This window comes from Homo sapiens, chromosome 19, assembly GCF_000001405.40.
Source record: "Homo sapiens chromosome 19, GRCh38.p14 Primary Assembly".
Taxonomy (NCBI): Eukaryota; Metazoa; Chordata; class Mammalia; order Primates; family Hominidae; genus Homo; species Homo sapiens.
In genome coordinates this window covers 34,905,151-34,921,233 of record NC_000019.10, presented here as the reverse complement: position 1 = coordinate 34,921,233, position 16,083 = coordinate 34,905,151, and the positions used below count along the sequence as shown (strand labels likewise).

The following is a 16,083-nucleotide window of genomic DNA, read 5'->3' as shown; positions in this document are numbered from 1 at the left end:
TATCGGGGGAAATTCAGCCCGATATTTCACGTAGGTTCTTTTCTATTTTCCCTAAGTGTTGGCCGGTCTGAGAAATAAAGGGAAAGAGTACAAAAGGAGAAATTTTAAAGCTGGGTGTGGGTGTTTCTCATCGGGTGGGACAAGAGACTGAGAAAAGAAAGAGACACAGAGACAAAGTATAGAGAAAGAAAAGTGGGCCCAGGGGACCGGCGCTCAGCATAGGGAGGACCCGTGCCGGCACCAGTCTCTGAGTTCCCTCAGTATTTATTGATCATTATCTCTACCATCTTGGAGAGGGGAATGTGGCAGGACAATAAGGTAATAGTGGGGAAAGGGTGAGCAGGAAAACATGTGAACAAATGTCTCTGTGTCCTAAACAAGGTTAGAAAAGGTGCTGTGCTTTGATGTGCACATACATAAACATATCTGGTGCATTAAAGAGCAGTATTGCCGCCAGCATGTCTCACCTCCAGCCTTAAGGCGGTTTTCTCCTATCTCAGTAGATGGAACATACAATCGGGTTTTACACTGACACATTCCATTGCCCAGGGACGAGCAGGAGACAGGTGCCTTCCTCTTATCTTAACTGCAAAGAGGCCTTCCTCTTTTACTAATCCTCCTCAGCACAGACCCTTTACGGGTGTTGGGCTGGGGGATGGTCAGGTCTTTCCCTTCCCACGAGGCCATATCTCAGACTATCACATGGGGAGAAACTTTGGACAATACCTGGCTTTCCTAGGCAGAGGTCCCTGTGGCCTTTCGCAGTGTATTGTGTCCCTGGGTACTTGAGATTAGAGAGTGGTGATGACTTTTAACAAGCATACTGCCTTCAGGCACTTGTTTAACAAAGCACATCCTGCATAGCCCTAAATCCATTAAACCTTGAGTCAACATAGCACATGTCTCTGCAAGCACAGGGTTGGGGGTAGGGTTACAGATTAACAGCATCTCAAGGCAGAACGGTTTTTCTTAGTACAGAACAAAATGGAGTCTCTTATGTCTACTTCTTTCTACATAGACACAGTAACAGTCTGATCTCTCTTTCTTTTCCCCACAATTTGGAGACACAGGAAGATGTTCCATGAAGAAGTGGTCAGAACAATGCCCTTTTGGCAGGAGGATGCCCACATTCATTGACTAGTTAATGTGACAGCATAAAAGCTAGGGTTCCCTCCCAACTTGGGACCACATTGAAGGTCTTTTACAGATACAGAGCTTCCTGTGGGATTGGCTGAGGCCTTTGTTGTGAATGCATAACATGTCTACTCCCTCTGCCCAATCCTGTTTACTTCCTCCACCTTCCCCAGGTACTGAGGCCAAGAGCCATTCCAAATAATTGCCCTGTGTGATAACCTCCATCTCAATGTCTGCTTGCCTGCAAACCCAACCTGTGATAGAGTTAAATTAATTTGATGTTATCAAATATTCGGTTGAATTGTTAAAGCAAGCAATCTATATATGCTAGTAAAGAAAGTATCAGTATAGGAAGAGGCTATCAGAAATAGACATAGCAGAACATCTTTTGTACTGCAGATTCAGAGGAAGCTATGTTTTGAAGCATTGATCTAACAGCCTGGGTGACAGAGTGAGACCCTATCTCAAGAAAAAATAATTATAATAAAAGGGTCAGTTTAGACTAGGAGAATTCTGAGATCTCCTGAGCTTTTTCAGATGGTGGACTGAGGGCTGCAATTGGAGTCAGGTGGCCCATCTAACTGCATATTTCCATATGCAACTTCTATTTGGTGGAAATCAGAAGAGTTTAAAAAGCTAGTAGGGGAATACAAGGACACAGGGGGTTTATCCATGAAAACATTTTAGATCTGGAGAGCCACTTTCTAAAACCACTAGCCTGGCATTGGTGCCATTCAGTTTCCAAGTGGAAGTGGACAAGCATTTTAAAGGTATAGGGAAGGAGTTTTCTCCAGTTCATATGGTGACAGCAAATTATGTGTAAGCATGACAACTAGCAATCATATTTTGCCCCAAACCAACATATAACATGTTCTGTCAGTGCAGGTGTCCCCTGAAGAGAAGATACAACAATAGGATAAGACTTACAAGGGAATTGTTGGGGCAAAGCACCTTCAAAGGATAAAGGGAAGCTAGAAGTGTGGAGAGAGAGCTTTGAGAACCCTGGCTGGGTGCGGTAGCTCATGCCTGTAATCCCAGCATTTTGGGAGGCTGAGACTGGCAGATCACCTGAGGGCAGGAGTTCAAGACCAGCCTGGCCAACATGGTGAAACCCCATCCCTACTAAAAATACAAAATTAGCCAGGCATGGTGGCACATGCCTGTAATCCCAGCTACTTGGGAGGCTGAGGCAGGAGAATTGCTTGAACCTGGGAGGCAGAGGTTGCAGTGAGCCGAGATCATACCACTGCACTCCAGCCTGGATGACAAGAGTGAAACTCTGTCTCAAAAAAAAAAAAAAAAGAACTCAGTACCTGTGGGATTCCTGTTGTGTTATTTTATATATATATATATATATATATATATATATATATATATATATATATATATTCACCTGATCGGTTCTTCCTGCCCACTGCACAGAAAAAATCAATCCACTGAGACCATGGCTTTGCAGTAAAGAAAAAGTTTGATGAGAGGCTGGCCATGCCACGAGGGACATGGAGTTATTACTCATCAATCTCCCTGAAATTTGGAGGCTGGGGTTTTTCAAAGATACTTTGGTGGGCAGGGAACTAGGGAATGGGTGCTGCCGACTGGTTGGGGAATGCAATCATAGGGATGACGAAAATGGTCCTCATGCACTGAGTCTGCTTCTGGGTGGGGGCAACAGGACTGTTTGAGTCACAGGTTGGGTGGGGCCATCTGATTGTCAGAAATGCAAAAGCCTGAAAAGATATCTCAAAAGGCCTGTCTTAGATTCCACAATAGTGATGTTAATTACCATTAACATAGTAATTAACATAGGAGGAGCTGGGGAAGTTGGAGATCTTGGGACCTCTGGAATAATGGCTGGTAATTGTTTAACTGCACCTACATTTTAGTAGAATTCAGGCCCCTCTGATTTTCCTAACCTGGTAGCCTTTCATTAGTTTTACAAGGGTGGTTTCATTTTTGGGAAGAGCTATTGTCTCCCAAAGTTAGTCTGACTTATGCCCAGGAATGACCAAGGACAGTTTGGAGGTTAAAGGCAAGATGGAGTTGGTCAGAATTTTCTCTTACAATTTTTGCAAAGGCAGTTTTATATATATTGGTTTTCATCCATGGCTCCTGGCTCTTAACTCTCGTAGCTCTTGTTACAGTCTTTTGTTATAATGTTGGGTGTGTTGGGCCCCAAGGGCAGGCCTCAGGAAACAGAATCTGTCTCCTGCCCTCATTTCACCTGCCCCAGGGCATGACTGTAATCTTCCTGTGAAAAGTAAAGTAGAGGTTTCTCTTCAAAGACTTTCTTCCCTGTCTAATTAGGAATAAATAGTAACTTCTCTTAGAAGCAAAATTTATTCAAAGACCTGTGCTAACATTCTTAAATATCTGCTAACCATAATAAAGAAATCAATGTACTTTATGTTCTTAGCTCCCACAATTTAGCCTAAATATTTGCCCTGGCATGCTTATGCTGGTCCAAGCAAGCATTAGGTCATAGCCTGTTCCTCTTCCTTATTTGAAGGTGTTTTTACCTTTCTCAGCATTCCACAAGTTACATCCTCCTTCCTTTGTTCTCATCTGCCTTTGCCTCTTTTAAAAAGTTCTAAGTTGCTAGCCAGTCAGGACAAATACAGAATATGAGGTCCCATTCCAGCCAATGGAAACTGGACACAGCAGTAGGGTGGATGCATCAGGTTATAAATGACCCTGTCTCCTTTGTTTGGTGTACTCTCATGGCAGAACTAATGGCGAGTGTACCCTTTCTGCAGAAAGCATAAAAATGGCCTTGCTGAGAAAATTAAATTTACGTTCAAGTGCTATTTCTTTATGGCACCAGGAAACAAGCATTTCAAACATTCCCCTGCCTTTCTGATTGTGGGTCTTAAGACCCTCCCTTGAGAAGGTCCTGCCTCATACGCTGGGGGAAGGAATGCTTCAATAAGAACCCAAGAGGATTGGCTTTGGTGAGCTTTCAGATAGCTGAACACATGGGGGTTCCTGGAGGATGGTATGCATGGGGAGGGCATGGTAGCTCTGTGCTCCTTCCCCCATACCATCTCTTCATCTGTGTCCTTTGTAATGCCCTTTATAATAAAGTATAATAGTAAATGTAAATAAGTGCTTCCCTGAGTTCTGTGAGCTGCTCCAGCAAATTAATCAAACCCAAAGAGGGGGCTGTGGGAACTGTAACTTGAAGTCTGTTGGTTAGAAGTTTTGGAGGACTGGACTTGTGATTGGTGTCTAAGGGTATGGAGGGGGCAGTCTTGGGGACTGAGCCCACCAGCTGTGGGATATGGAGCTATCTCCAGGTAGGTAGCGTTGGAATTGAATTGGAAGACACCTAACTGGTGTCCACTTCCTGGTGTGTGGGGAAAGCCCCCACATTTGGTCACAGAAGGCTTATTCTGTGTTGATGATTGTGGTGGTGGTGTGAGTGCAGAGGAAAAACACGGTTGGAGAGAGTTTTTCCTCTACCTGTGAAAGCAGTGAAAGAAGGAAGGACTAGGTAGCAAATGAGTCACATCTCAGCACACTTCTGATAAGTTTTTGACCAGGCCAGTAGGGAGTCCTGGAGCCACACAAACCCTGTAGAGGATTATCACATTGGGCAGGAAAGGCCAGATTCTTGTTGCCTGCGCCCTTGTACCTTTGTTGTACATGGTCATTAGATGGGAGGAGCCTAGGGGAAGGGAGGCCTGGAATAAACACTGTGGTGGATCTAAAGCACAGCTCCTGGAAGCTGTCCATCAGCTGTGCCTGCGCCCCAACAGGTCTCATGAAGGGAGTTCCAAAGGAGCACTTCCATGGCCACCACACTCCACCCCTGGTGCTGCACAGAGCCACTTTCCTGGGCATGTTCATGGAGCAGCTCTTCCAAAGTCCCCAGGGGGAGCAGCCATGACTGCTAGCTAGTTCAAAAGGATCCTGCTGTGTCCCAGTCAACAGTGGCCTCTTTTGGAATTAGGACCACTAACCCAGCATATCCTAAAGGTATGGGTACTCCAAGCAAATGTCTCATTTCTAGCATCTGGGCTTCTATGACATGATACATAGAAGTAGTCTATTTGTAGTTTGCTTATGAAAGTGAAAATATTTCTCAATATTTTAGAGGAAGTTTCTGATCATGGCAGGGTGTCGGCAAATATTCTTCTCCTTACCTCCAAGGACATTCCTTGTGGTGAGTCCTGCTAAAATGGCAGGGCACATGGCCAGTCCTTGAAGTGCTCCTAGAAGTAGTCTTTGGGAACAACCAATGGAGCTCACATAGCACCTTTCAGCTGCAAAGATACAAACTTGGAGTCAGCCTGTTCTGTTCCATGAAGACCCTTGCAGGCACCCATGCTCACTAGGCTTCTTAGAGACTGCTCTGGACAGCTCTTCCCCACACAACTAGTCAGGCTGGAGGTTCTGCTGCTTTCTGTGAAGGTCAGCCACTTGTTCTTTCCCCTCTGGAACATGTTAGCACCACCTTCACAATGCTCTCTTTCCCTGTTCTGAAGAACACACTCAAAGGGTCCCCAGAGAGCATGGTGGGATATGTCTCCATACCTGAGGACAGGATCTGGGTCCTCAGAATCACCCCAAGAGGTGCTGAAGTAGCCCAGAACACAGTGTGGAGTGGCGCTTCCCCTGCATGCCTCTGCAGAGTGGCCAGTTCTCTACAGGGATGCCATTTCCATTTTTTCTCCATCCATTTCCTCTTCTCAAAATAACACATTTCCCCTCCCTCCCTCCCTATCTCTCTCTCTTTTTCTTTCCTTCCCTTCCTTCCTTCTTTCCTTCCTTCCTTTCCCTCCCTTCCTTCCTTCTTTTCTTTTTTCTTTTCTTCTCTTTTCTTTCGTCTTGCTCTGTTGCCCAGGCTGCAGTGCAGTGCTGCGATCTCAGCTCACTGCAACCTCAGCCTCCCAGGTTCAAGTGATTCTCCTGCCTTAGCCTCCTGAGTAGCTGGGACTGCAGGTGCCCGCCACCACATGTGGCTATTTTTTTTGTATTTTCAGTAGATATGGGGTTTCGCCATGTTGGCCAGGCTGGTCTTGAGCTCCTGACCTCAAGTGATCAGCCCACCTAAGCCTTCCAAAATGCTGGGATTACAGGAGTGATCCACCACACCCAGCTTCATCTTTCTGTCTTGGCCTTCTGTCTTTTCATTTTTCTGTCTACATTATCTGTGATTTCAGTTTTATTTTTATTTTTAGAAGTTGGTCAGTAGATATGAATAAGGAGAGGGAGTGTTTGCAAGTTGACATATACTCTCTGAAATGTAGGATAAATGTATTTTCCCAAACTGAGTGTTGATATACATATAGGAAAAATCTCACAAAACAGGATGCAAATGAAATCAAATGATGGATTGAAAAACAGTACCACAGAGGCCATGCAGGATTTCCATGTCCTTAAATGATGCTCAACTTATTAATTGATAAATCTTTTAATTTTATTATTATTGTTATCATTATTATTATTTTTTTTGAGATAGAGTTTCACTTTTGTTGCCCAGGCTGGAGTCCAGTGGTGTGATTACAGTTCACACTCAAACTCCTGGGCTCAAATGATCCTCCCACCTCTGCCTTCCAAGTAGCTGGGACTATAGGCGTGTGCCACCATGCCCAGCTAGACCTTTTAATATTTTTATACTTATAAGATTGTTTATTTATTTAGAGACGGGGTCTCACTGTGTTGCCTAGGCTGGAGTGCAGTAGTGCAATCACAGCTCACTGCAGCCTCTATCTCTTGGGCTCAAGCGATCCTCCTGCCTCAGCCTCCTGAGTAGCTAATACCACAGGTATGTGCCGCCACACCTGGCTAATTTTTAAATTTTTTTTGTAGAGACAGGGTCTTGCTGTATTGCCCAGGCTGGTTTCGAACTCCTGGGGCTCTAGCAGTCTGCCTACCTCAGCCTCCCAAAGTGCTGGGATTACAGGCATGAATGCCTGGCCTTATAAGATTATTTAAACAATCAATCTAAATTTTATATTTTCTTTAATAATAAAACATTGCTTTATTATTAAATAGTAATAATAATAAAAAATTTAAAAATATTAACAATAAAATGCTTAATGTTTTTTCTACTTTAAAAATGTTATGCAACCCCTTGTTCTGTCAAGGCTAATTCATTATTCTTCAAGGTTGTTGTGACCTTCCTGCTCCTACCTGATTATCGTGTGCAACCCAGGGAGCAGATTCATTCTTCCTATTCTTGGTGTCTTTCATCCATATCTGAAACTCTTTAGTGTACTCAAATTCTTAGTATATCTTTTGTTTGTTACTGACACAGAAAGGGAAGAATACACATTTCTATGTAAAAAATGGTCATATAAAAAAACCCAGGATATATATACATATATGTCGTGTGTGTGTGTGTGTGTGTGTGTGTGTGTGTGTGTGTGTGTATGTTTTTCTCCTAGATGAAATGAACAAGTCTTGGAAACACACAAGCTACCAAAACTGACTCAAGAAGAAATAGAAAATCTGAATAAACTTTAAGAGACTGAGTCAGTTTTCAGAAACCCCACACAAAGAAAAGCCCAGACTGGATGGCTTCTCTGTTGAACTCTAAGCACAGCAACATGAACCTAGTGGGAGCAGCAGATGGAAAGGAAATAGAGACAGGCCAGAGGTAATGTTCCATCACTATTGCCAAATCTGAGCCATCACTGTCCCTTGCCCTGACCACAGCCTTCGCCTCTTGGTGTTCTCCTGGCTTCCATGCTCCTGCCCAGCTACAGAACAATGCTGTCAGAATGGCTATTATTAAAAAGTCAACAGATGCTAGAGGGGTTGCAGAGAAACAGGAATATTTTACACGGTTTGTGGGCATGTAAACTAGTTCAACCATTGTGGAAGATGGTGTGGCAATTCTTCAAAGATCTAGAACCAGAAATACCATTTGACCCAGCAATTATATATGCAAAGGAATATAAATCATCCTGTTACAAAGATACACGCATGTGTATGTTCACTGAAGCACTATTCACATTAGCAAAGACATGGAATCAACCCAAATGCCCATCAGTGGTAGACTGGATAAAGAAAATGTGGTACATATATACCATGGAATACTATGCAGCTATAAAAAGGAATGAGAACATGTCCTTTTCAGGGACATGGATGGAGCTGGAAGCCATTATCCCCAGCAAACTAACTCAGGAACACCACATGTTCTCACTTGTAAGTGGGAGCTGAACAATGAGAACACATGGATACATGGAGGGGAACAACACACACTGGGGCTTGTTGGGGAGTGGGGTAGGGGGAGGGAGAGCATTAGGAAAAATAGGTAATGCATGCTGGGCTTAATACCTAGGTGATGGGTTGACAGGTGCAGCAAACCACTATGGCACATGTTTACCTATGTAACAAACCTGCACATGTACATGGAACTTAGAATAAAAATTAAAATTAAAAAAAAAAAACCTAAGTTGGCCAGGCCATCCTCCAATCATTCCCATCTCTAAGTTAAAGGCCCCTTTCTTATGACTTCTAACAAGGCCTTCATAGACTGTGCCCTGTCCTCTGCGCTCTCCTCTTGCTCTCATGCTTGACTCCATGCTATCTCCATTGTCTTTAATATCTACTCCCTGGGACCCCGGGCAGCCTTCCTGTGGACCTTTGCAGTGGCTATTCCCACTCTCTGGGTTGTTCTTCCCTCAGATATCTGCGTGGTTCCCTCAACTGCCTGCTTCTTGATTTTGCTTAAATTTCACCTTCCTAGCAGGGCCCATCCTGCGCATCCTGTGTAAAAACAGAAACCCATGATTCTCCCTACTCCCAAATTTAGTTTCCCACAAACTGCTTTATTCTCTATAGCACTCGTTAACTAGCTAATCTACAAAATAATGCACATATTTTTTATGTGTGTTGTTCATGTTCTCCCCCCGCCCCCCATTAAGATAGAGGCACCAATAAGGCAGGAATTTACCTTTTTTGCAATTGATGCTACTTGAAATTGTCCCAAGTACATCCTTGATACTCAATAAGTATGTTAAATTGATAAATGAACCAATAGCCTTCTGAGTAGTACCTGGACTTCACAACTAAAAACTGAACTCACTATATGTTTGTCCAAATGAGTCATGTCCATTTGTCCAAGCCAGATGGCTAGAATAGCCCTGGCCTTGCTGTCACCTACTCCACTTTCTCTTCTGTTTCCTCCTCGCCATCCCCACTGTCAGGTCCTCACCTTTGCTTTAGTCACAGCTTTAGCCATTGTCTCACTTTGCTTTAGTCATGGCAAGGAGTCCCTTAGGCCCCTCACCCCTGGAGTGACACCCATCTAATCTCCCTCTCAGGTAGCCACAGTATATTTCTCAAGTGTACATAGAATTGTGCCACTTTTTTTTTGTTCCCAATCTTTTGGTGACTCCCTATATGCTCAGGATAATGAACAAATGTCCCATCATTGTATATATATTTGTCAAAATGTGTCCTTGCCAAATGCCGCAGCCACATCTTCCACTTTGGTTTCTGTTTCTATGCATACCTGACTATCTTCCTGGTGTCCCACTGGCTCTCTTTCTCCCCTGCCTCTTCACATGCTATTTTCTTGACCTTGGAAATAGCCCTTCTCCACCTAGTTGGCTGTTCTTCCTTCTTTAAGGCACAATTCATGTTTTATCTCCCCCAGACTTAGTTTTATGTCCTCCTTCCTTTCCTGCTCCCTTATCCCTATCACCATTCTTTCCAGTTGGCAATTTCTGGTTATTCATTTATCTCCCACTCTGCATTGTAGATTCTGCTGGGCTGAAAGATGTCTTCTTCTTCTTCTTCTTCTTCTTTTTTTTTTTTTATTTGAGACGGGGTTTGACTCTGTCACCCAAATTGGAGTGCATTGGTGCAATCACGGCTCACTGCAGCCTTGACTTCCTGGTCTCAAGTGATCCTCCTGCTCTAGCCTCTCGAGTGTCTGGGACTACAGGTGCATGCCACCAAGCCCAGTTAATTTTTTTAATTTTGTAGAGATGGGGTCTTACTATGTTTCCTAGGCTAGTCTCCAGCTCCTGACGTCAAGTGATCCTCCTGCCTCAGCCTCCCAAAGTGCTAGGGTTATAGGTATGAGTCACTGTGCCCGGCTAAGAGATGTCTTTCAACTCAATATGAGTAAGGCCTGAGAAAGACTCTCATGTAGAATCATAACTGTTTTATAAACTAATATGTAAGGAGCTGAGGAAATGCTTGTATGCGTCACTTTCACTAGCTTCTGATGGTTCTCCTGGCATATGCAAATATTTTACTTCAGCACATAAGTCTAGAGAGATGAGAACTGCTCTACCATCAGCCAGATCTGGATGAAATTGTAGCACTTGTGGGGTAATATTTTAGGGGTTTAGAGTACAGCCAGACTAGTTAGTTTTCCAAATAGGTCTCATCTGGGCATTTCCTTGAATTTTTTTTTTTTTTTTTTTTTTTTTGAGATGCAAGTCTTGTTTTGTCGCCAGGCGGAGTGCAGTGACGTGATCTCGGCTCACTGCAACCTCCGCCTCCTGGGTTCAAGGGATTTTCCTGCCTCAGCCTCCCAAGTAGCTAGGACTACAGGCATGTGTCACCATGCCAGGCTAATTTTTGTATTTTTAGTAGAGACGGGGTTTCACCATGTTGGCCAGTATGGTCTCAATCTCCTGACCTCATGATCTGACCACCTCAGCCTCCCAAACTGCTGGGATTGCAGGCGTGAGCCACCAAGCCCGGCCAAATAACTTTATTTTTTTTTTTAAAGCAGCATGCTAACAGCTTCTAAAAACAGGATATTTGTGCATATCTGTCATATATATGTGTATATACATATTCTCCTAGATGAAATGGAAAAATATGCTCACCTAGGCTTAACATTTTCAGTAATTACAGAGTAGGTACGAGCTTTTAGTTCCTTTTTTTCTACAGGCCCAAGAGCCTGGATACCAAATCCACTCTCTCTGGTTGAAGTATGAATGTTTGGGATGATTGACCTAGGTCAAAGTGAAAGAGACACTTCAGATGTTTAAGCATTTTTAGTTTTTTCGAGACAGAGTCTCATTCTGTCACCCAGTCTGGAGTGCAGTGGTGCAATCTTGGCTCACTGCAACCTCCACCTCTTGGGTTCAAGTGATTCTCCTACCTCAGCCTCCTGAATAGCTAGAACTACAGGCATGCACCACCTCTCCTGACTAATTTTTAAATTTTTAGTAGAGATGGGGTTTTACCATGTTGCCCGGGCTGGTCTTGAACTCCTGACCTCAGGTGATCCACCCACCTTGGCCTCCGAAAGGGCTGGGATTACAGGTTTGAGCCACCACCCCTCGGCCAGTTAAGCATTTTGAAAGGATAAAATTGTCAAGTGTCATCTAACACATGTCCAGGATATCTGGCCTACATTGAGGTCAGATGGTTGGGGGAGAAGCACAGAGGGAGGAGGAAAGGATACGTCATCCCATCTTATATATAATCTAGGAAAGAAAGGTGAGGGCCCACCAAGGCAAATGGGTGATGGGAAATGAGACAGCTGCAGGTAGCACTGAGCATCCTTCTAGTTTCAAGACAGGAACATTGGGCCAGGGGTTAGGTCTGGCAGGCTGACAGTCAAAGCCAGGGATGCATGACAATGATACCTAAATAGTTTTCTCTACTCCTCACAGTGGAACTGCTTGATACCACTGTGTTGACTTCTGACTGGTCTCATCTGCCTCACAATGTGTGGGCTTCCACCTTGTTTAGCAGGACAGAGAGCAGGTTTGGTTTGTTTGACATCTCTAGGTGGGACTGAGCCTCCATCCCAAAGTGTAAGGTCTATTCATGACTGATAGTGGCCTCTCTTTGCTTCTAGAGGAAGCTTTTGCTCCTTAGTTGATGAGATCCTCATTCTTTCACCAAATAAAATAAATCAATTGGTCACCCCAAATCTCTGTCTCTAGTGAGCCCTGACCATGCAAAAAAAGTGCCCCAAAAGCAAGACTGTTGCTTGCCATGTCCACACCAGAAAGGAAATTGCTGTAACCAAAGCTAGGAACACAAATGCTTCCAAGCACATGTATTTTCTCGATGGTTCTGAAAGGGGGCTGAGCACAGTGGCTCACGTCTGTAATCCCAGCACTTTGGGAGGCTGAGGTGGGCGGATCACCTGAGGTCAGGAGTTCAAGACCAGCCTGGCCAACATGGTGAAACCTTGTTTGTACTAAAAATACAAAAATTAGCCAGGTATGATGGTGGTCACCTGTAATACCAGCTACTCAGGAAGCTGAGGCAGGGAGAATTGCTTGAACCTGGGAGGTGGAGGTTGCAGTGAGCCAAGATCATGCCACTGCACTCCAGCCTGGGAAACAGAGCAAGACTCCATCTCAAAAAAAAAAAAAAAAAAAAGTCAAAGGTGCTACTCTGAATGGATGGACTCTGGGTATTCTGACTGAAGGCAAGAATAGGAGTGGCTCCCTAATATTATATGCTGTTATACCCTCTGATTACAACAAATATGGTCCGGTCAGAACTATCTCAATCATTGTAGAAAGAGACATATATACAAACACAGGTATGGTGTGGTCTCCACCCATTATAGCCCTGTTCTTTGTCCAGGTGAGCCCTTACTGCTCTGATTGGGAGACAGGAATACAGGGACTTTTAAACACACATTTGCACCTGCAACAGATGTGCTACACCCAGTTGAACCCCAGGCACTCTGACTGAGGTCATAAGCTTTGTATTGAAGTCATCTGTCTCCAACCAGAGGTATGGCACTATCCTCTCTGATAGCAAATCAAGAGCACAGTGCTGGCATCTGGTGAAGACCTTCTTGCTATGTCGTTACATGGTGGAGCACATCACATGGCAAGAGCAAGAGCCTGTCAGCTCAGGTGTCTCTTCCTTTTACCAGTCCCATCATAGGGGTCCACCCTGATGACTTTATCTAATCCTCATTACCTCCCAAAGGCCCCCACCTTCAAACATATTTACATATGAATTTGGGGATTGAGTTTTTAATACACGAAATTTGGTTGACACATTCAAACCATAGCAGATGCCAAAGGTGGACATGGGGGAGTCAAATTCCCAAAAGCTGCCTGAGTGGTGCTGTCATTGGGTTCCAGGGCTGCAGTAGAGGTTAAGTAGGAAGGATTTCTGGGGGCTGCCAGGTTCTTCAAAGGGAAACAGCTGTTAACATTGCAGGGAGAGACAGGAAGATAACAGATGGGGAAATGGGCATGGTATCCATGTTGATTTCATCAGAGTAAAAGGCAGGCTTGGATGCCAAGTCTGAAGAGGGTCTGCTTACTATAGTGGAGGTGACTGCAGAAGCAGTGGTAGGTGGGCCAGAAAAGACAGGGCATTGAAGAGAGTGGTTTCCTGTTGATGCCTGTCTGGAACCCTAGATTTCAGGTGATAGGTGTTTCTTGGGTCAAAAGGCAATGTTGGAAATTCAGGTAGGGCTGTTGACCATAAAAGCAGGTGGGCTGGTGGAGACTGTGTTCTTTACAAGGGATATCTGCTCCATACTGGGATGGAACTGGTCAAATGGGAGGATACTCATCCTGGATCCTATGGGAGACCAGGAGATGAAAACCTGTGAAAAGGGATTGGTATCCATGCAGTTTATACCAAAGTACAAAGTAGGCTTGAGGTTGAGTCTGCAGATTACTGGCTGTGATAGTGAAAATGCTTGAGGCACCAGTGATGGGCCGGTCTATGAAGATGGGCATACAGGTGGAAGAGTCTGTAAGAAAAAGGGAGAAAAATCCACAATGACTCAATTCTGATTAGATGACTAGATAGATTCTGATTAGATTACTAAACTGATAGATGACTCAATTCTGCAGGAGGTAGACTTGAAGCAAAGGCCAAGGGGTTAGGAGATGTGGTGAGGTCAAAAGTAGAGATCTAGGCCAGGCGTGGTGGCTCACACCTGTAATCTCAGCACTTTGGGAGGCCGAGGCAGGCAGATAACGAGGTCAGGAGATAGAGACCATCCTGGCCAACATGGTGAAGCCTCGTCTCTACTAAAAATACAAAAATTAGCTGGGCATGGTGGCACATGCCTGTAGTCCCAGCTGCTCTGGAGGCTGAGGCAGGAGAATCACTTGAACCCGGGAGGTGGAGGTTGCAGTGAGCCAAGTTCGCACCACTGCACTCCAGCCTGGTGACAGTGCGAGACTCCGTCTCAAAAAAAAAAAAAAAAAAAAAAGTAGAGATCTGGGCTGGGTATGGTGGCTTACATCTGTAATCCCAGCACTTTTGAGAGGCTGATGCAGAAGGATCACTCAAAAGCAGGAGTTCCAGACCAGCCTGGGCAACATAGCAAGACTCCATCTCTAGAAGAAAAAAATGCCTGTAGTCCTAGCTGCTCTGGAGGCCGAGGTGGGAGGATTGCTTGAGCCCAGGAGTTTTAGGCGGCAGTGAGCCATGATTGCACCACTACGTTACAACCTGGGTGACAGAGCAGGACCCTGCCCCACCACCCCCCAAAAAAATCTGCAGATGAGGGACTGAAATGGAAATGGCTTTTATTCCCATAAAGGGGAACTCCCAAAATGATATTGAACCTAAGGGGAGAAACAACAAGAATAGGAAAAAAAAAAAAAGGAGAGTTAGGATATGGGCATTTCATTTAATGATCTGTATATGGGGTGAGGACTGGTACAGGGGCAGAAGGGACTGGGGGCCTGGAAGACAGGACAGCCAAGTCAGTGGCTGGTAACATGGTAGTATCAGCAAACTACAAGGTGAAAATGGCCAAGGGTGGGGTGCCTGCCATCTCTGCAACAAGCAGGAAGAAAGAAGGGGCAGGCTGAGGGGCACTGCACTGCTATCTGAAGGGGCCTTGGCTTTATCTTCTAAGAACATGTGGTTAGACTGGGGCTCTGCTTTCTTCTTCAAGCCTACATCTTCTCCAACGACTATACAAAAAAGCTTAGGAGAGTTTGGGCAGCTCACCTTGACCTCAAAAAATAGCAGCGGCAGTGGCAGCAGCGGGCGAGTTGGAACTTTGTTTACAGAGTCTACAACTGGCAGACGTGGGTTGAGAGTTCCTGTTTGAAACCCTTCCTCCCTGCATCTTCTCTGTCTTCAGAGAGAACTGGACCTCCAGAGAGGCAGGAATCCCCTAGCAGCACTGCCTGAGCTGGTGATGGCATGGCCTTTGATGAATGAGCTCATACAATATCTCTTCACTTTCTCATCTAAGGCGTCTTCTGGGGGTTGGAGTGGAGGTTTCCCTTCAATGGCCCGGGTAGGATTTCGTTGTCTTGGGGGTAGATCTGAAGACTCACTCCCACTGCGATGGGTGGGGGTAAGGGAGCTTCTCTGATCGCGCTGGGGTCGCTATTTATACTCATCCTCCACCTTCGCTATCCCTGGCTGCTGTCTCCTAGGGTCCTCATCTCAGTCTTCCTGCGCAGGGATCTAGGCAGTATGGATGGGACCGACCTCACAGAGGAGACTGCCTACCTCAGATAGCAATAGAGGAGAGTCGGTTTGGGCCCTGGATGACAGATCGTAACTGTCCTGAGTGGCTGGACATCTTAGAGTGAACAGCAGACAGCACCGGCTTCATGTGAGAGTCCTGCCTGGACATTGAGGATGGATCCGAGAGAGAAGCGCAGAGCCTGACGGATCAGACACCACCACCCCTTAGCGGCGACGAAACCGAGCGGTAAACGCGCTGGATCGTGAGAAGCACTTGTCTAGCTAGGCCAAGGAGAGAGGCGCAGGGAGAGCGAGGTGATCCAGACCAGACAGGGAACCCTGCGGGGCGTGGCGGGGCCGGGGGTGAAGCTTGCAGAGGTAGTTGCCCGTGAAGAGCAGCTTGTGCGCTGTTGGATCCTTGGAGTGGAGTGGGAACTCCGAGGTGAAGCGCACCGTGTTCAGCCCGATGCCGGTGAGCGGCCGTTGGAACGCGTGGCAGAGAAAGCTTGCGCGAGCCCAGGGCGCGAAGAAGTACAACAAAGGGCCAACGGGGAGGTCCAACGGTCCGACCCCAGCCGGACTCGAGCTCACTCGGTTGCAGGC

At 45.5% G+C, this 16,083-nt stretch overlaps 1 long non-coding RNA gene across 1 annotated transcript, besides 2 other annotated features; it reads right to left on the bottom strand.

The window, feature by feature from the left end:
• Positions 11,421 to 12,019: an enhancer, noted in NCBI's record as "OCT4-NANOG hESC enhancer chr19:35400119-35400717 (GRCh37/hg19 assembly coordinates)". NCBI's record gives its function as "activates a minimal SCP1, AML or CMV promoter by ChIP-STARR-seq in primed H9 embryonic stem cells {active_cell/tissue: H9 hESC(primed)}" and the evidence as "EXISTENCE:reporter gene assay evidence [ECO:0000049][PMID:30033119]".
• LINC01838 (long intergenic non-protein coding RNA 1838) lies at positions 13,043 to 15,919 on the bottom strand. Its single transcript, NR_146451.1, has 2 exons — positions 15,010 to 15,919; positions 13,043 to 13,792 (listed from the first exon to the last, which is right to left on the bottom strand). It is a non-coding gene; the product is annotated as a long intergenic non-protein coding RNA 1838 (long non-coding RNA).
• Positions 15,367 to 16,076: an enhancer, noted in NCBI's record as "H3K27ac-H3K4me1 hESC enhancer chr19:35396062-35396771 (GRCh37/hg19 assembly coordinates)". NCBI's record gives its function as "activates a minimal SCP1, AML or CMV promoter by ChIP-STARR-seq in primed H9 embryonic stem cells {active_cell/tissue: H9 hESC(primed)}" and the evidence as "EXISTENCE:reporter gene assay evidence [ECO:0000049][PMID:30033119]".